Source organism: Homo sapiens, chromosome 2, assembly GCF_000001405.40.
Source record: "Homo sapiens chromosome 2, GRCh38.p14 Primary Assembly".
NCBI lineage: Eukaryota > Metazoa > Chordata > Mammalia > Primates > Hominidae > Homo > Homo sapiens.
In genome coordinates this window covers 33,825,145-33,847,536 of record NC_000002.12, presented here as the reverse complement: position 1 = coordinate 33,847,536, position 22,392 = coordinate 33,825,145, and the positions used below count along the sequence as shown (strand labels likewise).

The window sequence follows — 22,392 nt, the reverse complement described above, 5'->3', positions numbered from 1 at the left end:
AAATCATATTGTTAGCATAAACTATCTGATGTGGACCAAAGCCTCAGATATACAAAGACACTGATAAAGCAGGATATTACAAAGGCTTAAGGGTTATCTCCTAGGAGGCAGGTGAAGGGCCAGTCCTTTCCATGGAATATGTGGTGTTTGAGCAAACCAAGCCCACTGAGCTAACAGCTTATGGCACAACCTTTAACTCCTATTCAAGGTTTCCTTGAAATAGAAATATATTTGCCAAATATGCAATAATCAAAAAACAGAAAAATAGCAATGTGATTTATAGTTCCTCACAGATATCACACTGCATATGAAGAAGTTATCTGTGAAGTTGCAAGGAAAAGTTTACTTGTGATCTAGCTAGACAGGTATGAAAATTTATGCTGAAATTAAAACTTACATAAAAAGCAATGGTAATAATTTTACGCATTTTTCTAGCATGAATCAACGTGAAGATTTGATTGACGACAGTAAGTAAAAGGAATAACACATTGTTGATATTTGTAAATTTAGAATTTATACAATACCCTTTCAATTAAATGTTAATACTGAGTTGAAAAATAGTAAAGTTATTGCACTTACAGTTTGAAAATGATATACTTTTGCATCAAAATCAAATCAGCTATTCTAAAACAGAGGAACTAATTTTGTTAATGTGGGTTTAAAAACTAAAGGAAAATTTCTTTCTTTTTTTTTTTGAGACAGGGTCTCATTCTGTTCACCCATACTGGAGCACAGTGGTGCACTCATAGCTCGCTGCAGCCTTGAATTCCTGGGCTCAAGTGATCCTCCCACCTCAGCCTACCAAAATACTGAAATTACAGGCGTGAGCCTCTGCACCCAGCTGGAAAAGCAGTTTTTGATACTCAGTTCAATTACTAGAAAACTTTCAATTATGTGAATCTACTTTTGAAATGTAAATTTTGTTAAGTTTAAATACAGATGAAGAATCTATAATGAAAATTTAGTGTCCAAATGAAGATGTATTTTAAGAATAAAGGGGCTAGGCGCAGTGGCTCACACCTGTAATCCCAGCACTTTGGGAGGCCGAGGCGGGTGGATCACCTAAGGTCAGGAGTTTGAGACCAGCCTAGCCAATATGGTGAAACCCCGTCTCTACTAAAAATACAAAAATATTAGCCAGGCATGGTGGCAGGGGCCTGTAATCTCAGCTACTTGGGAGGCTGAGGCAGAATTGTTGGAACCCGGGAGGCAGAGGTTGCAGTGAGCCGAAGTGAGACTCTGTCTCAAAAAAAAAAAAAAAGAATAACGGCCAGGTGCGATGGCTCACACCCGTAATCCCAGCACTTTGGGAGACCGACACAGGTGGATCACAAGGTCAGGAGTTCGAGACCAGCCTGGCGAAGATGGTGAAACCCTGTCTCTAGTAAAAATACAAAACAATTAGCCAGGCATGGCGGTGGGCGCCTGTAATCCCAGTTACTTGGAAGCCTGAGGCAGAGAATTGCTTGAATCCGAGAGGGAGGCGGAGGCTGCAGTGAGCCAAGATCGTGCCAATGCACTCCAGCCTTGGTGACAGAGCAAGACTCTGTCTCAAAAAAACAAAAAAGAATAAAATATACACCAGATGTCAAAGACTTAGTAGAAAACAAAAAGTGTAAAATAATAATACAATAATTTTCATACTGATTACATGTTAAAATAACTTCGTTTATATTGAGTTAAATAAAATGTTATGTTAAAATAAATTTCATTTTTTAATTTCAATTTTTATTGTGGCTGCTAAAGTTTTTTAAATTACACTTGCTTACATTATATTTCTAATAAACAGCACTGTTCTACATAACTACTGAGTTAAAGAATAAATCATAATAAAAATTTTAAAATATATAGAACCAAATGGTAATAAATATAATACATATCTAATTCCTCACCAGGAAATGTATGACTTTAAATGTGTATATTAAAAAAGAAGAAATGATAACGAGTAATTAGGTAGGCATCTAACCCAAAAGCACCCAGGCACGGTGGCTCATGCCTGTAATCCCAGCACTTTGGGAGGCTGAAGGCAGGCAGATCACTTGAGGTAAAGAGTTCAGTACCAGCCTGGCCAACATGGTGAAACGCTGTCTCTACTAAAAGTACAAAAATTAGCCAGGTGGGGTGGCATGTGCCTGTAATCCCAGCTACTCAGGAGGCTGAGGCAGGAGAATCACTTGAACCCGGGGAGGCGGAGGTTGCAGTGAGCCAAGATCGCACCATTGCACTCCAGCCTGGATGAGAGAGCAAGACTCTATCTCAAAAAAAAAAAAAAAAAAAAAAAAAAAAGATAGTAGGGAAAAAAAAGAAATATTACAGCTAAAACTAGAAATTCATGGAAGAGAAAAATATATAAAGAACAAACAAAAGCAAAAGTAAGTTTCTTGGAATCACAAATAAAATAGACTCTATCAAGATTGATCACAAAAAATAGAGGTGTTAAAAATTATATTAGTAGTGAAAAGGTAACCTAATAGCTACAGTCAAAATTAAAAAGAAAAGAAGGATTTTGTATGTTAAGCCAGTAAACTTGAAAGTCTAGCTATGATGTACAATTTCTGAGAAAATAATATGTAACTTGCCAAACTGACAAAAAGAAATAGAACATCTAAAATTTTTTTGGAATCCTTAGAGATGTTGAATCATAGTTAAAACATATTTACACATGAAGTCTCCAGTGCCTGATACTTTACAGGTGATTCCAATCAACTGTCAAGTCAGAGATCATTCCAACATTGTGGAAATTATCCAGAGAATAGAAAAAAAAAGTAAATGCTTACCAATCCACAGTATGAAGCTAGTATAACTGAAATCAAAACCAGGCAAGAACAGTGTAAAAATAGAATATTATAGGACAATATTTTCATGAACGTAGTCACAAAATTGTAAGATATCAACTAGCTAAACCCAACAATATATTTTTTAAATAATACATCATGAACAAGTTGGATTTGTCACACAAATGCAAGAATGGTTCTACCTTAGAAATTCTAAAGATAAAATCCGTCCATTTAAAAGATTTAACATTTTAAAACACCACATAACAATCTCAATAATTGTAGGAAAATATCATCTAATACCTATGAATGATTCAATAACAAACTTACAAACTAGGAAGAGAAGGGAATTCCCTTAATCTAAGAAATCATGTCTACTATAAATGGATGTTTTAAATCATAGTTAATGATTAAACCTTAAAAGCATGCCCTTTAAAATCAGTAACAAGTCAGGCTTCTCAATATCATTTCTGCCTTCCAACATGTCTATGCATCACACAGATACACTCACACACGAATTTGAAGGTAAAGATTAGAAAGAAGCAAAACTATAATTATCTCAAGGTAAACATTTTTATTCAGAAAGCCACAGAATTCACAGAACATCTTGTAGAACAATGAATAATTTAGCCAGTTTACTAAATATAAGATTTATGTACAAAATGCAATCATTTTCCTATGCATAGTTAGGAAATGCATTTTTAAAAAATATTCTGTTTAATAACAGAAGATTCTGAAAGATAACTATAAATAATTCTAAGAAATAATATACAACCTTCATATTTCAGAAATATTTCACAGTGGCTCAGGCCTGTAATCCCAGCGCTTTGGGAGGCCATGGTGGGCGGAACACTAGGTCAGGAGATTGAGACCATCCTGCCTAATACAGTGAAACCTCATCTCTACTACAAATACAAAAAATTAGCCAGGCATGGTGGCACACATCTGTAATCCCAGCTACTTTGGAGGCTGAGGCAGGAGAATCTCTTAAACCCAGGAGGCAGAGGTTGCAGTGAGCCGAGATCACGCCACTGCACTCCAGCCTAGTGACAGAGCCAGACTCTGTCTCAAAAAAAAAAAAAAGAAAGAAAACAAAGAGACCAAAGGCCCAGCTCTCATGGGCCTTTCTTATATTATAGTCATGGAAAACAGACGATAGACAAAATTAGTAAATGAGTGTATGTTATACTAGAAGATGATAAATGCTATGGAGAAAAATAAAGCAGGAAAGTGGTATAGGGAAAGCTGGGGGCAGGAACTGCAATTTTGTTTGGGTATTCAGAGAAGGACACATTGAGAAGATGATACTTTAAACAAAAACTTGAAGGAGGTAAGGGAGAATGTCATGTGGATATATGAGGGAAGAGAATTTCAGGCAAGTGGTAAAGCAAGTGCAAAATACCTGAGGTCAGGGCATGCTTGGCAGGCTTCAGTGTAACAAGACAGAGTGAGCAAGAGGTAAGTAGTAGGAGACTGGATCAAAGAAATCATAAGCAGCTAGATGGTTAGGTCCTTGCAGGACTTTAAAGGACTTTGAATTTTACTCTGAGTGTGATGGAGAACCATTGAAGAGTTGCGAACAGAAGAGTGATCTGATTTAAATTTTTATCAGAGTCACCCTGGTGCTATATGTATTAAACTGTTCTCATCCTGCTATGAAGAAACCCCTGAGACTGGGTAATTTATAAAGAAAAGAGGTTTAACTGACTCACAGTTCCTCATGGCTGGGGAGTCCTCAGGAAACTTACAATCATGGCAGAAGGGGAAGCAAACACATTCTTCTTCACATGGCGGCAGCAAGGAGAAGTGCAGAGTGAAGAGGGGGAAAAGCCCCTTATAAAACCATCAGATGTTGTGAGAACTCACTCACTATCATAAGAATAGCATTGAGATAACTGCCCCCATAATTTAATTACCTCCCACTGGGTCCCTCCCATGACATGTGCTTATTATGGGAACTACAATTCAAGATGAGATTTTGGTGGGGACACAGCCAAACCATATCACTATAATAAAAACTAGCCTATAAGGGTGCAAGTGTGGAAGCAGGAAGTTAGAAGTCTTGTAACAGTACAGGAGAGGTGATGGAGGTTTGAACCAGGTAGAAACCAAGAAATGAGGTAGTAGCTGGAGGGACAAGAGAGATGCAGAGATTTTTGTTTGTGTATGTATGCGTGCTTTTATTTGTTTCAAGAACCGAAATGCGAGAAACTCCTACACGTTTATGTGCTTGAGTACATGAAAGCGAATGGCATTACGTGAAGCAGCATATGGCTCAGATTTATACAGAAGCACAGATGGTCATTTTATAGTAGCCAGGAGGGAACACAGGGTACAGGGGCATAGATGCCAGTAGGTAGTGGATGTGGCAGGAGCTTGTGGAAGTTCTATTTTGCTATGTCCCCAGTAAAATAAGAAGCAGTTCATCAGATGATAGCCAGGAGCGCTGGTGAGGTGTTGGAGTTTTGAGAAAAGAAAGGCAAAACAATCACAGTAGAGTAAGAAATAGACAAGGGAAACAAGATTGTCAGACAGCATGAAAGATCCATTGACACTAAGGATGAACTTAAAGTGAGACCAGTAAGCATGCTATGTATTTTTCTTCTGCTGTGATGATGCAAAGTAGGAGGAGAGTTGGACTTCACCAGGATCAAAATTCTGCCAAGCAAGTAAGTACCACAGGAAAGGGGAAAGGGTGTTGAGGGTGTATGTGAGGAAATGGCTATAATGATTAATGATGGAATTTAAACCGTGGGAAGAGTCAAAAGTACATGAGTGTGAATCAGGGATACGAAAAATTGCACCGGGCAGTGGATTGATTGTAGATCCTGGGGCTTGTTCAGGTGGTGAGACTAAAATGAGCAAGATAGGACAAGGCATACAGAGGGTGGAATGGCTGAACCTGCGATTATGAAAAGGTGATGGAAATTCTGTGCTATGACCATGTGAGTGAGTGGCTGAGATAGGCTGAAGGGGAGGAACTGAAGAAATTCAAGGCCATGGTGGTAGAGAATCATTTCTGTGGATATTAAAATTACCAAGAATTAAGACAGGAATGTTGTGGGGTTTTTCATTTGTTTATTTGTTTGTTTGTTTGTTTGTTTGTTTGTTTTTGAGACAGAGTCTTGCTCTGTTGCCCAGGCTGGAGTGCAGTGGCGTGATCTCGGCTCACTGCAAGCTCCACCTCCTGCGTTCACGCCATTCTCCTGCCTCAGCCTCCTGAGTAGCTGGGACTACAGGCGCCCGCCACCACGCGCTGCTAATTTTTTTTTGTATTTTTAGTAGAGATGGGGTTTCACCATGTTAGCCAGGATGGTCTCCATCTCCTGACGTTGTGATCCTCCGGCCTTGGCCTCTCAAAGTGCTGGGATTACAGGCGTGAGCCACGGCTCCTGGCCCTTTTTTTTTTTTTTTTTTTTTGAGACGGAGTCTTGCTCTGTCGCCCAGGCTGGAGTGCAGTGGCACAGTCTCGGCTCACTGCAAACTGCGCTTCCTGGGTTCACGCCATTCTCCTGCCTCAGCCTCCCCAGTAGCTGGGACTACAGGCACCCGCCACGGCGCCCAGCTAATTTTAGTAGAGACGGGGTTTCACCGCGTTAGCCAGGATGGTCTCCATCTCCTGATCTCGTGATCCGCCCATCTAGGCCTCCCAAAGTGCTGGGATTACAGGCGTAAGCCATTGCGCCTGGCCCAGGAATGTTGTTTAAAAGACTGACAGTGTATATACTATGTACTGGTACTATGTACCCACAAAAATTAAAATTTTAAATTAAGAAAAAAGGCTGGAATTGACAAAAATCATTGAGAAATAAGGGACAATGAAGTAGGGGAAAGCAGACAACTCAACGGGGGGACAGTGGGAGTGATGGTCTGTTAAGACATTCAGACCTTATAGAGTCTAAGTAGGAGAGAGGGAGCAGGGTCTCACAGCATCAACAAAACACTGAGGAGGATGCATATCCCACCTCCATGGCCCGATATGAGCAGTGTAGGACATTAAAATGGTCCTTCTCACAGCCCGAGTCAAAGCCAGTTCCCAGCCCAGTCCCGTCCCTTAGCAGCCTGCCTCCTCTTTCCTTTCAACATGACAGATGCCACAGTGTCCTTTGCCAAGGACTTCCTGGCAGGTGGAGTGGCCGCAGCCATCTCCAAGATGGCTGTAGTGCCCATCCAGCGGGTCAAGCTGCTGCTGCAGGTGCAGCATGCCAGCAAACAAGTCACCGCAGATAAGCAATACAAAGGCATTATAGACTGCGTGGTCTGCATATCCAAGGAGCAGGGAGTCCTGTCCTTCTGGCGCGGTAACTTGGCCAATGTCATCAGATACTTCCCCACCCAGGCTTTCAACTTCGCCTTCAAAGATAAATACAAGCAGATCTTCCTGGGTGATGTGGACAAGAGGACCCAGTTTTGGCGCTACTTTGAAGGGAATCTGACATCAGGCAGTGCTGCTGGGGCCACATCCTTGTGTTTTGTGTACCCTCTTGATTTTGCTCTTACCCGTCTAGCAGCCAATGTGGGTAAAGCTGGAGCTGAAAGGGAATTCCGAAGCCTCGGTGACTGCCTGGTTAAGATTTACAAATCTGATGGGATTAAGGGCCTCTACCAAGGCTTTAACATGTCTGTGCAGGGTATTATCATCTACCGAGCCGCCTACTTCAGTATCTATGACACTGCAAAGGGAATGCTTCCGGATCCCAAGAACACTCACATCCTCATCAGCTAGATGATCACACAGACCGTCACTGCTGTTGCTGGGTTGACTTCCTATCCATTTGACACCATTCGCCACCACATGATGATGCAGTCAGGGTGCAAAGGAACTGACATCATGTACACAGGCATGCTTAACTGCTGGAGGAAGATTGCTCGTGATGTAGGAGGCAAAGCTTCCTTTAAGGGTGCATGGTCCAGTGTTTTCAGAGGCACGGGTGGTGCTTTTGTGCTTGTCTTGCATAATGAAATCAAGAAGTACACATAAGTTGTTTTCTAGGATTTTTCTCCTGGTGAACAGGCATGTTGTATTATATAACATGTCCTGAGCATTCTTGACAGACTCCTGGCTGTCAATTTATCTGTGGCAACTATTTGCTGTTGAAAATGAGAAGCAATAATGTTCATCTGACCAGTTTTCTCTTAAAGCCATTTCCATGATGATGAGGATAGGAGTCAATTATATTTTTTATTTCAGTTACTCCTGATAAACAACAAATTTGGAGAAATAAAAATATCTATAATGAAGAAAAAAGAAGGCCTTCACTTGAGCAGGAACAAAGCTGTGTGCCCAAAGTGATTTTAAAAGAACATGAACTGGGGCTGGGTATGGTATTTCACACCTGTAATCCCAGCATTTTGGGAGGCCGAGGCAGAAGGATTACTTGAGCCCAGGAGTTTGAGAACAGCCTGGGCAACATAGGGAGACTCCTGCCTCTACAAAAAAAAATTTTTTTAATTCAAAAGAACATGGACTGCAGAATTATATATAACAACAAATTTTAAAAGAAAACAAAAAACAAGTTAATTTTTTAACAATGAGAGAATGAATAAGTACATGGATTGTTCGTATAATGGAATACTACACAACACTGAAAATAAGCTGAGCTATGATCATGTAACATGATTATGTAAATAAGCTATGATCATGTAACATGGACAAAATCTGCAAAAATAATTTGAGTGAAAAAGGTAGGTGGCATAAGAATGCCCCAGCATGATATAATTTATATTATACTGTGTATACAAGGGTTGCTTATGAATTGCCTAGAGAAATATATATATATGTTACTAAATTATTTCTAATTATTTACTAATTATTTCACTTTGGGAATGCTAAATAAATTCAAGATCATTAATTACAGAGACAAAGGCGAGTGATTGGATCAGGGAAATAAATGTATACCAGGGTGAGATGAGAGGGACCTGAAATTAGCAATCTGTTATTTTTGTTGTTGTTGTTGTTTTGTTTGTTGTTTTTGTTTGTCTGTTTGTTTTGAGACAGAGTCTCGCTCTGTCGCCCAGGCTAGAGTACAGTGGCGTGATCTCGGCTCACTGAAACCTCCGCCTCCTGGGTTCAAGCAATTCTCCTGCCTCACCCTCCCAAGTAGCTGGGACTACAGGTACACACCACCACGCCTGGGTAATTTTTTTGTATTTTAGTAGAGATGGGGTTTCACCATGTTGCCCAGGCTGGTTGCAAACTCCTGAGCTCAGGCAATCCGCCCACCTTGGCCTCCCAAAGTGCTGGGATTACAGGCGTAAGCCACCACGCTTGGCCCAGCAATCCGTTATTTCTTAGGCTGTGTGGTAGATACAGGGGCGTTCATTTTATAATTCTCTATAATTTGTGAATTTCTGAAGTAAGTGCTAAATATAAAAGATAAAGATTGTGTAATACTTTTAGTGTCTATCGTGCTTTCAAATAAATTCTCTCATTTGATTCACAAGGTAAACTTGTGAGATAGTGAAGGTAGTTGTTATTAATATTTTCATTTCATAAAGGAGGAAACACCCACGGCTAAAAAAAAAATTCTACAAGTAATAAACAGATGAGAAGCAAGTCCACAACTAAGCTCTTTGGGATCCGAATCATCATGCCTCCTTAGATATGCTAACACTTGGTAAGTGAGACTGTAGAATCAGGGGTACAACCATCCTACTTTATCCTTTTTTTGCCCTTGAGTTAAATCATATTGTCTTAAATCAAATGGAGATAAATATATTTATTGAGGCGCCGCTGCTGTGTCCAAGGTTATGAAATGCCTTTCTTCTTCATAGTTTTCTGAAATTTTATATATTGTCAATTCCTCTCCAGCATCATAAAACAATGTAGAAGGTATCAGTTATTATTCAGAACCATGGAGTCAATTTTTTTTCTCTAGAAATAGAAACTTTCTATAGCTACTCAAGTGAAAAGAGGTAGGGGCATCAGAAAATCTGGGCAATCAGAAACCTGAATTGTATTTTCACTTGTCTTCTTCACTTTAGCTTTGGTTTTACATTGGACTTTCTAGAAGTCATTTTGTGTATCTGTGTCTCACTCTATACAACTGGGACAAAAATACAGACAGCTGACAACTTTAAGCACTCAAATAAAAAACTATGCATGATCATAAAGCATATCAACATACCTCACATAGCCCTTTGCATTGTGGCAACCGTTTGGTTTGCTGATAACAAAAGAGTATTGGAAAGAGTTAATTTGCACTAGCATGTAATAAATCTCCTCAATCACCTCACGTTATAATTCTTTTTTTTTGGGGGGATGGAGTCTCACTCTGTTGCCCAGGCTGGAGTGCAGTGGCACAATCTCGGCTCACTACAACCTCCACCTCCTGAATTCAAGCTATTCTCCTGCCTCAGCCTCCCGAGTAGCTGGGATTACAGGCACCCACCACTATGCCCAGCAAATATTTGTATTTTTAGTAGAGACAGGGTTTCACCACGTTGCCCAGGCTGGTCTTGAATGACTGACCTCAGGTGATCCGACTGCCTCGGCCTCCCAAAGTGCTGGGATTACGGGTGTGAGCCACGTCACCCAGTCTCATGTTATACTTCTATAAAGATTGGCCAGTCATTATGTAAGGCAGTATGTATAGTAGTTAACTGTACAGGGTACACTGACCTTGGTTTCTGACTTATAAAATAAGACTACTACTACCTACTTTTTAAGAGTTGTGATGACTGAAGGAGATAATGTATATAAAACACTTGGCACAGTACTGGTTGGGCTCATTAAAGTTGGCTGTTTTCATTATTGCACATAATCACCCTATTAATTAATACTCTTACTGGACCTTTGGCCTGGTGCTATCGGATTCTGGATTTTGAGAGTAGCTGCGGTAGAATTGTCTTCCCTGTACCACCTTCCTAGAAATTGCCACTCCTTACCCCATCCAGATGACAGCAAAACCTGCCATGTTTCTAACACGTGTCACTGTCCGTGCCACAGGTGGTCCAGGGCTTAACACATTACCCATGCTGCTATGATTATTTATATTCCTGGAAGTTGTGGGACTCAAGAGGAGAGCAGGGAGCAAAAACAAGAAAATAAGAGAAAGAAAGAAAATGCAAGAGTGAAAACCCGAAGACTAGTCTCTGTCTTAGTTACTGTACCTCCTACATGTAAGACTAAGAGCATCTTAGTGCCCATGCTTCCTGCCCTGTGGACCAGCAGCTGGAGGGGAGGAAAATAAGGCAGAAAGAAAGAAGCACAGAAGAAAGATGTGGAGAATGGCAGTCCTATTCAGGTCCCTAGCTGCAGGTTATTACCAAGAGGCAGCCGCACTCCTGTCTTTGAATACTGTGAGAAGACACCCAAGCATTGTCCTCCTTTACTTAGCTTAGCCAAGTTTAATTACTGAACTTGCAACAACAGCAAAATTCCTAACTAATACCCATTTTTTATCCCTTCTTCGCCATGTAATGGAAATATAGTCTGTCCCCTAAGTCAACCCCCACATATCCCCCTAAAATCTTCTGTCATCACATGAGATCAATTCCTGGCCTCTCAACCCTCAAGGATAGATCCCTGCCCTCTTCCCCTACTCCTGTTATTCTGAGCATCAATCCTTCCTTCTAATTGCCCTGACAGCTGGTCAGGAAGAACTGCTGGGCAGAACAAATCAGAAATGGCTGAAACCACAAATCCAACAACTTGGATAACAATCATCTCTCAGAATATATGTCAGTTCGCAAAGCAGGTCAGGGCATGTGGGTACATTCAACCCAGCTAGTGAAGCCAAGTTCATAATCTGAGCCACCATGGCCAGACAAAGGGAAGAGAAAAGGAGGACAGAGCAAGGTATTTAACCTCTATGAGCTCTCATGTTCTTTTCTGTAAGATGAAGATAATACTGTTGATTTTCAGGGTTACTATAAAGATTAGAATAATGTACATAAAATGTCTGGAATGTGGCTGATGCACAATTAATGGTACTTTTTATTAGCATGTCTATTGTTAAGCCTATAAATGCTCTGGAGCAACAAAATCAACTGAAAACATACAGGTTGTATTTATCAACATCCTCTCAGTCCACTTGAAAGGTACAAGAAAGATACTTACGCATTTTTAGGAAGAAATGCTTTTTTACTTTAGCCCGTTAGCATTGCAGCCTAGATCTTTCTATAGTAATCAGTATTCAGAGGTTATAATGCTAGAAACTTTCTACAGATGTTCCTTGTGTTCGTCAGTGCAAGCTGCCTGAAATTTGAGTTTTAATGCCTAATAGAATTTAGCCTTACAGAATCAGAAATTGGCTGGACCTGATTCCCTTAAAAATGCTATTGCATTCAAATAGGATCACTGCTCGGCATTGCCTCCGCTTTCAATAAAATGAATCTTTTAAAAAACTCATTGTACACAGGAGATTAACCGCACTCTGAAGTCACCTTCGAGTTACGTACATACCTTAACTTTCTGATATCAGTTCATCGTAAAGCCCCCAGAAAATGCAGGGCAATTATGGAAACTACAGCAATCAGATACCAAGCTCCAGAATATGCTCCACACTGTTATTTTCTGGCTGAAAGTTTATTTGAAGCTGTTTTTGTAGTAGGGCAGAGAAAGAACTTCTCATTGGGAGTAAGACAAAGGATTTCGTCCCAGCTGAGATATTAACTCACTGTGTGTCAGCAGACATGGTTTTTTTTATGACCCCAAGCCCCCAACCCAAGGCCTTGGTTTCTACTTCTATCAAGTGAAAGGGTCAGACTACAGAGATGTCCAACAGGTTTCGGCTCATCAACTGTAATCAGCCACTAGTGATTATTGCAGTAACTATGTTATAAGAAGAGTGTGGACTTCCCAAGTTGGGGAATCCGGCTTTCATTTATTCTTTTTTTTTTATTTCAGTGTGCCCACTGCTACGGTTTGAATGTGTCCCTGAAAAGGCATGTGTTGGAGACTTAATCCCCAATGCAGCGGTGTTGGAAGGTGGGGCCTAATGGGAGGTGTATAGGTCGTAAGAATGCAGCCTTCATGGATTAATGAATTTACGTAGATTATAAAAAGGCTTGAGCCTGTGAATTCCATCTCCCATTATCTCTCTTACTCTCTCAACTCACCAGATGTCAGTCCCTTGATCTTAAACTTCTCAGCCTCTAGAACTGTGAGAAATAAATTTGTTTCTTATGAATTACCCAGTCTGTGGTGTTCGGTTATAAAAGTACAAAGCAGACTAAGATATCCACATTTTCCACATTAATCTTCATTTGATATTATTTTTATAATCACATATACACTTAAATCTTAAAGGATATATGTATTTTCTTCCCCAAGAAGACTTTTTGCCTCCCCTCTACAACTCCCTACATACCTCTTCTGTTTTTTAATCCCTTGAAGAAAGCTATTCTCTTCTAGTTCTCTCCGAGCACCTTGGACTCACATGCTTTAAAGCATATACTCTGTCATTAATGAGTCTGTGACACACATTCAGCTATGGGTTCTGTAAGAGCAAGGTCTATGTCATAAGAGTTTTGATAACTGCCTCAGAGAGCACCACAGTGTGTAGGAATGAAGAATAAAGAGAGAAATGGATAGTTAAGGGGATAAGTGAACAGATGAGTAAAAACTTCCTGGTCTCTCATGAATGCAACACCCTATTATCAGCCAATTTGATGCATTACATTGAAAAATACACCTTTTATGTCTCCTGAAATTCTAGTTGTATATTTAGGGAAAATATTAGGAAAAATTGGGTACATGAGTGCATTAGTCCATTCTCATGCTGCTAATAAAGACATATCTGAGACTGGGTAATTTTTAAAGGAAAGAGGTTTGACTCACAGTTCTGCAGGGTTGAGGAGGCCTCAGGAAACTTACAATCATGGCAGAAAGGGAAGCAAACATGTCCTTCTTCACATGGTGGCAGCAAGGAGAAGGGCCGAGCAAAAAGGGGAAAGCCCCTTATAAAACCACCAGATCTCGTGAGAACTCACTATCACGAGAACAGCATGAGGATAACTGCCCCCATGATTGCATTACCTCCCACCAGGTCCCTCCCATGACCTGGCAGGGATTATGGGGTTACAATTCAAGATGGGATATTGATGGGGACACAGCGAAACCATATCAACAAGTCTCCTCTTAAATAGGTAAAGATTCACAGCCCAGTTTCTTCACTTCTCCAAATCTACTGAAGTGTATTTATACCTTTTGTTTCTAACATCTAAACCATTTCAATTTTCTAATGATAAAGGGAGATTGGAAGGCAATGATGGATGACAGATCATATGATAATGAGGTATTTCCCAACTAAACACTAAGTTTCAAGTAATTAAAATTTCTTGCCAATATTCTGTTTTTTTTTCTAATGCTCACCCATTTTGCATTTCCCAGATATGACAACTTTTCCCAGCATACAATGAGCACTACTCATCAAAAATGGCATGTTCACTTATAGGGCTTATAGGGGCCTTTAACACACTCTAGGTGGTGCTCACCCTAATGTGAGGGAAATAGTTCTGCGCTAGATTATTCTGTGCATGCCTCTCCTGTGTACACATTGCTTGGTTTTTAAACTGCAAAAATTTCTGTTTCTTTTCCCTTGTCAAAAGTGCAACCAAGAAGAGGCAATGCAATCAATCAAGAGGCAATGCAATCGAGAGGCAAAACAGGCCAAGTTTCTTCCACATTTTCCCCAGGCAAGGTTTTTCATGTTTCATTTGCTAAAATGTGGCTTCACTGTAGGCTTTGCTTGGAATTTGATTGATTTCTAGAGCCTCCAGTACAGCTAAAGGGTCATAGATATATATGTAAAAGGTCCCACAGAAAGTTTCATTGAGGCCTACCAGGGCTAGATCAAAGGGTAGCCAGCTGGGCACCTGACCGGGTCACCAATCAATAAGAGGCATTAAAACATCACTGGAAATGCAATTAAATGGAGAAGGCTACATTTACCAGAAGTCCTCTCAGGGAGACTGTAAGTCATTGGAATTTCTGATAAGCCACTTGGGATGGGACTTGAGACCTCCAAGAGGCACACCCCAGAAACCTAAGGAATCAGTATTACATTACATGAGGTGTGACCAGTTGGTTGCATACTCTTGTCTTAATGAGTGTGATGTGAATATTTGGGGTCACAGATGACCACAAAGGAGAGGTTGAGTGCCACCACCAGAGTTCCTTCTCCTCCTTCCCTCATATATTTTCTGCCTCTCCTGTACATAAATAATTATTGGCTTTTTGAAAAATATCATTTTTAAAGTACATCAAAGTATTGGACTCATGTGTCTACTTGTGAAAACATTTATCAGCAGATGACTCTAAACCTCAAAGTATCAGCAGTTTGTAGAATGGAGCACCAGGGAACAGTATCCTTCAGGATCTCAAGAAGCCATATGAATACTGCCTAGCTGCAGGTACAGATTCCCAGGACCATTCTCAGGAGTTAGGACATTCAAGGGTCCAGAAGTGACACAGAAATGAGTTCTGGAGAGACAGAGACACAGAGAGAGAGAGAGAGAGAGAGACAGACAGACAGAGAGAGAGATGGATAGATAGATAAATAATATAGCATGCAAGGATATGCGCCAAGGGGCTGCCTTTTGACCCATGCATCTGAAAAGGCTGAAGGTGTCCTTCCAACAATGATCAGTGGTGAAGTGACATTGATTTAATTCAATGTATGGTACTTCCTGGCTCTTTGGTCCACAGCCTCCATGAGATTGCTCACCGTAAGGATATTAAGCAATCTAATGGGATAATTTCAAAGAAAACCATCTTCAACTGAGTGAATTTTTCTGCCCAGTAAAAGTTGTAAAAGCCCGAGTGGTATACAATGAGACTTTCATTCTCCTGGGAATTCTTAATTCTATCCTTAGACCTAGTTGGTTCACCACGGAGCAATGTATTCTTATCTCATTTGCAAACCCTCAAAGAAATACCTTTGCTAATTAAAGATTTATGTTATAACCTCATAATGCCTTGTCCCTGCCCTGCTCCTTTTGTCTTCCCTTGGCTTCCAGGAAGACCTGAACCTAATTTAATTTTCAACTGCTGTAACATTAACCTACATTTTGGCACACTTATTTCTCCCATCTGTATAGTTTATTGGTGGTGGTGTTGATTATCTTCTTTCTGCTTAAAAATAGTATTGAAAATGTATCTTTGATTGTAAATTTCTCAAGTCCTTTATGGAAGCAAAAAAGGAACACTTCATAACCTATAAATAGAAAAAGATCATATTTTGTCATTCGTTATTGATATTTAACGTATACTCCCTTGTGAATTTTACACCATTATTGATCTTCCAGAGCAGAGAAATTTAGAATATTCAGTTTTTTTAATCAATTGGTTTATTGATTTAATAAGGGATCCGTATCTGACATTCTGCAAAAATAGAGTCCTAGAACACTCAAATGAGGCTCAACTTGAAGTCTGAGACAAGAAATTTGAGGGCAAATAAGGAATGTTATGCTTATAAAACAGTAAATTTTTTAATTATTCATAATTTTTAAAAATCCAATGGATTCAAGAAAGACTTAGAAAATTTTTAGGATGGGAAAATAGAGTCATAATAGACTAATAAAGAAAACCAGAGATACTATTTTTCTAAGACAACACAAATACTTGGAGATTAATTAACATCTCACAAAACAAACATGATTCCTATAATGCATTCTCTGTGTTACTTCCAGGGAAAAAAATAAAATCAGAACACTCAAGGATCTTAGAATTTGCTTTATGTCCTGACACTGAATGAAGTCTAAGTCAATTCCCAAGCTGTGTTCTTTGAAGCATTACTGCTCAGGAAGACAGTGAAAGAAGCACCCTGAAAAGGACATTCTCTGATCAAATAAGTATGGAAAATATTGTGTACCATCACCTCATTCTTTGAGATTCAAAATATTCATTAATATATTAAAGTCTTTGAGAGATCCCGCAGTCACTCAAGAAAGTTGTTTCACATTGCTTAACCTAGGTTTTCCTGAAACTTTTTTGAGCAAAAAAAAAAAAAAAAAAAGACTGTTTAGATGAAATCTCTATAAACATTCTGCCCTCAAATTTGTAACACTATGGTATCAAGTAGCCCATCCCCTTTGTTGAGCTAACACAGCTCAGGACCACCAGGAACTCCACAGTCTGGCCTATCATGTCTATAGAAGCCCGGCCAAGTGTGAGTCCTGCCAGCCCAGGAATGGGAAATGCCTGCAGAAACTGTGGTTTGGGTTACTATAACAAAATACCATATACTGGGTAACTTTTAAACAACAGAAATTTATTCTAACAGTTCTGAGGGCTGGAAAGTCCAAGACCAAGGCACCAACATATTTAGTATCTGGTGAGGGATCAATTTCTGGTTCACTGATGACACTTTCTAGCTGTGTCCTCACATGGTGGAAGGAGAGAACTCTGGTCTCTTCAGCTCCTTATAAGGGCACTGATCCCATTCTTGAGGGCTCTCCCCTAAAGACCTAATCACCATCCAGAGACCCAATCTCCAAATACCATCACATTAAGGCTTAGGTTTCAATATATAAATTTGGGGGAGACATATTCAGTCCACAGCTTACAGGAAACTGCTATTATTCCAATTCACAGTTGAGGAAACTGAGAACTTAAAAAAAGTTAAGTAATCTACCTAAGGTCACATACCTGCAAATGTGGCAGTGCTGGATTTTAAATATAAGTCTGCCAGACCCCAGAGACATGTTTTAAACCCCTGAAGAAGGAAATGCAGAAGAGAGTTTTATTAAACCATTTCAGTTAGAAGAATGGACACATACATTATATTTTTCAGTGGTTACAAAAAGCCACCACAATTGCTATATATGAGTAGTGGGCACCATTTATTCATTCAATTCTAAGGAAGAAAAATTATGATAGCCAGGTGATTTTTCTCCCTCAGTTACTTTGCTGACCAATCCACTTACAGTTTGCCGATCATACTATTCCCTTTCAAAACACCCCTGCCTGTCTTTATACAAACTAATCCCTTTATAAAGGTGGTTCTCCACTTGGCTCCCAGGAGAATTCACTCTTTCAAAAGCAATTCAAGTATCACCATTTCCTCTGTGCAGGCTTCCCTAATTGCTATCTTTCTGTTTTCATTGCCTCAGTCCCTCCTCCCTGATCCTAAAGCACAATGTACATCTCCAAACATCACACAGCTCTGGTTGCAGACTCACTGCTTGTTTGTGTATCTGTCTTCTGCTTCATACTACACCCATGTGTTATCTATCTCTGCACAGATACATGGGACTTGACAAGCTGCAAGGCACCATATCAACGTTCCTTAAACAGAGGCATTTGATGTGTTTGTAGATAACTGAATAAACTCTATGGCTGTGCTGCTAAGTAATCTGGGAGAATTTTAGATTTAAAAATGCACAAAGTAGAAGGGAAAGTTGAATAATTATTGCAATCCCTCTAATGATTCATATAATTGGATATATATAATAACAGCTAAAGGAAATGAAGGAAAGCTACAAGTATCAACATGGATAAATTTCAAAGTGTTAAGTTAAAGAAAAGTTGTAAAATGATATATATGGTCCCATTTATATAAATTTTAGAAGTGTGAAAAACAATATTCTTTTTTTTTTTTTTTTTGAGACGGAGTCTTGCTCTATCGCACAGGCTGGAGTGCAGTGGTGCCATCTCAGCTCACTGCAAACTCTGCCTCCCAGGTTCATGCCATTCTCCTGCCTCAGCTTCTCGAGTAGCTGGGACTACAGATGCCCACCACCACGCCTGGCTAATTTTTTGTATTTTTAGTAGAGACGCGGTTTCACCGTGTTAGCCAGGATGGTCTTGATCTCCTGACCTCATGATCCGCCTGCCTCAGCCTCCCAAAGTGTTGGGATTACAGGCGTGAGCCACCACGCCCAGCCGTGAAAAATAATATTCTATATAATGTATGGATAGTAATAATAATTGATTACAGCATCCATAGGAATTACAATCACTAATTCAGGATAACTGTTTCTTCAGGGCCAGAAAGATGGAAATAGAATCAGTGGGAGATACTCATGAAGCTTTAACTGTATCTGTATGTCTTAGCTGCAGGAAAAAAAAATGATAAAGCAGGAAGTCCTAGCCAGAGCAATCAAGCAAGAAAAAGAAATGAAAGGCATTTAAATAGAAACAGAGGAAGCCAAACTAGCTCTGTTTGCAGATGATATGATTCTTTACCTAGAAAACCTTACAGTCTCTGCCTAAAAGCTCCTAGATGTGATAAACCACTTCAGCAAAGTTTCAGCATATAAAATTAATATATAAAAGTCAGTAGAATTTCTATACAAAAAAAATGTCCAAGCTGAGAGCCAAACCAAGAATGCAATCCAATTCACAATAGCCACAGAAAGAATAAAATACCTGGGAATACTAGATATTTTACCAGCTAGCCAGAGAAGCAGAATATCTCTACAATGAGAATTACAAAACACTGCTCAAAGAAATCAGAGATGACACAAACCAATGGAAAAACATTCCATGCTCATGTATAGGATGAATAAATATTGTTAAAATGACCATACTGCTCAAAGCAACTTACAGATTCAATGCTATTCCTATCAAACTACCAATGACATTCTTCACAGAATTCGAAAAAACTATTTTAAAATGTATATGGAACCAAAAAGAGCTCAAATAGCCAAGGAAATCCTATGCAAAAAGAACAAAGCTAGAGGCATCACATTACCAACTTCAAACTGTATTATAAAGCTACAGTAATGAAAACAGCAATGGTACTGGTACAAAAACAGACACACGCACCAATGGAACAGAGTAAAGAGCCCAGAAATACAGCTGTACACCTACAACCATCTTATCTTTGACAAGGTTGACAAACACAAGCAATGGAGAAAGGACTCCCTGTTCAATAAACAGTGCTGGGATAACTGGCTAGCCCTATGAAGAAGACTGAAACTGGACCCTTTTCTTATTCTATACACAAAAATCAATTCAAGGTGGATTAAATACTTAAAGCCTAAAACTATAAAAACCCAGACGATAACCTAGGAAATACTATTCTGGAAATGGGCCCTGGCAAAGATTCCATGACAGAGACACCAAAAGCAATTGTTAAAAAACAAAAATTAACAAATGGGACCTAATCAAACTAAAGAGCTTCTGCACAGCAAAAGAAACTCTCAACAGAGTAAATAGCCTACAGAATGAGAGAAAATATTCGCAAACTGCACATCTGACAAAGGTCTAATATCCAGCATCTATAAGGAACTTAACAAGCAAAAAGCAAATAACCCCATTAAAACATGGGCAAAGGACATGAACAAACACTTTTCTAAAGAAGACGTACACAAGGCCAACAAGCATATGAAAAATGTTCAACATCACTAATCAATAGAGAAATGCAGATTGAAACCACAATGAGATACCATCTCACATCAGTCAGAATGGTTATTACTAAATAGTCAAAACGTAACAGATGCTGGCAAGGTTGTGCAGAAAGAGAACAAACAAATGGAAGAACATTCCATGCTCATGGGTAGGAAGAATAAATATCGTGAAAATGGCCATACTGCCCAAGGTAATTTATAGATTCAATGTCATCCCCATCAAGCTACCAATGACTTTCTTCACAGAATTGGAAAAAACTACTTTAAAGTTCATATGGAACCAAAAAAGAGCCTGCATTGCCAAGTCAATCCTAAGCCAAAAGAACAAAGCTGGAGGCATCACACTACCTGACTTCAAACTATACTACAAGGCTACAGTAACCAAAACAGCATGGTACTGGTAGCAAAACAGAGATATAGACCAATGGAACAGAACAGAGCCTTCAGAAATAATGCCGCTTATCTACAACCATCTGATCTTTGACAAACCTGACAAAAACAAGAAATGGGGAAAGGATTCCCTATTTAATAAATGGTGCTGGGAAAACTGGCTAGCCATATGTAGAAAGCTGAAACTGGATCCCTTCCTTATACCTTATACAAAAATTAATTCAAGATGGATTAAAGACTTAAATGTTAGACATAAAACCATAAAAACCCTAGAAGAAAACCTAGGCAATACCATTCAGGACATAGGCATGGGCAAGGACTTCATGTCTAAAACACCAAAAGCAATGGCAACAAAAGCCAAAATTGACAAATGGGATCTAATTAAACTAAAGAGCTGCTGCACAGCAAAAGAAACTACCATCAGAGTGAACAGGCAACCTACAGAATGGGAGAAAATTTTTGCAATCTACTCATCTGACAAAGGGCTAATATCCAGAATCTACAATGAACTCAAGCAAATTCACAAGAAAAAAACACACAACCCCATCAACAAGTGGGCAAAGGATATGAACAGATACTTCTCAAAAGAAGACATTTATGCAGCCAAGAGACACATGAAAAAATGCTCATCATCACTGGCCATCAGAGAAATGCAAATCAAAACCACAAGGAGATACCATCTCACACCAGTTAGAATGGCGATCACTAAAAAGTCAGGAAACAACAGGTGCTGGAGAGGATGTGGAGAAATAGGAACACTTTTACACTGTTGGTGGGACTGTAAATTAGTACAACCATTGTGGAAGTCAGTGTGGCGATTCCTCAGGGATCTAGAACTAGAAATACCATTTGACCCAGTCATCCCATTACTGGGTATATACCCAAAGGATTATAAATCATGCTGCTATAAAGACACATGCACACGTATGTTTATTGTGGCACTATTCACAATAGCAAAGACTTGGAACCAAGCCAAATGTCCAACAATGATAGACTGGATTAAGAAAATGTGGCACATACACACCATGGAATACTATGCAGCCATAAAAAATGATGAGTTCATGTCCTTTGTAGGGACATGGATGAAGCTGGAAACCATCATTCTCAGCAAACTATCGCAAGGACAAAAAACCAAACACCACATGTTCTCACTCATAGGTGGGAACTGAACAATGAGAACACATGGACACAGGAAGGGGAACATCACACACCGGGGCCTGTTGTGGGATGGGGAGAGGGGGGAGGGATAGCATTAGGAGATATACCTAATGTTAAATGACGAGTTAATGGGTGCAGCACACCAACATGGCACATGTAACAAACCTGCACATTGTGCACATGTACCCTAAAATTTAAAGTATAATAATAAAAAAAAAAGAAACAGAAACACTTATACACTGCTGGTGGGAATGTAAATTAGTTCAGCCACTGTGGAAAGCACTGTGGCAAGTTCTCAAAGAATTTGAAACAGAAGTACTATTCGACCCAGACATCCCATTATATAATATAATATAAACCATTCTACCATAAAGACCCAGGCATGCATATGTTCCTTGTAGCACTACTCACAATAGCAAAGACATAGAATCAACCTAAATCCCCATCAATGGTACTCTGGATAAAGAACATATAGTACATATACACCATGGAATACTATGCATCCAAAAAAGGGAACAAGATACTGTCCTTTCCAGCAACACGGATGGAGCCAGAAGCCATTATCCTCAGCGAACCAATGCAAGAACAGAAATCCAAATACTGCATGTTCTCAATTGTAAGTGGGAGCTAAACATTGAGTACACATGGACACAAAGAAGGGAACAATAGACACCGGAGCCTACTTGAGGGTGAGTGAGGGGAAGAGGGAAAGAATAAAAAAGCTACGTATCGGGTACTACACTTGTTACCTGGGTGATGAAATAATCTGTAC

The 22,392-nt window shown here is 39.6% G+C and overlaps 1 long non-coding RNA gene and 1 pseudogene across 1 annotated transcript in view; one reads left to right on the top strand and one right to left on the bottom strand.

The window, feature by feature from the left end:
- The window catches only part of LINC01317 (long intergenic non-protein coding RNA 1317), a 590,861-nt gene that overhangs the window by 450,210 nt on the left and 118,259 nt on the right, over positions 1 to 22,392 (bottom strand). The gene's annotated exons all lie outside the window — the stretch shown is intronic.
- Positions 6,791 to 8,015, top strand: SLC25A5P2 (solute carrier family 25 member 5 pseudogene 2; annotated as a pseudogene).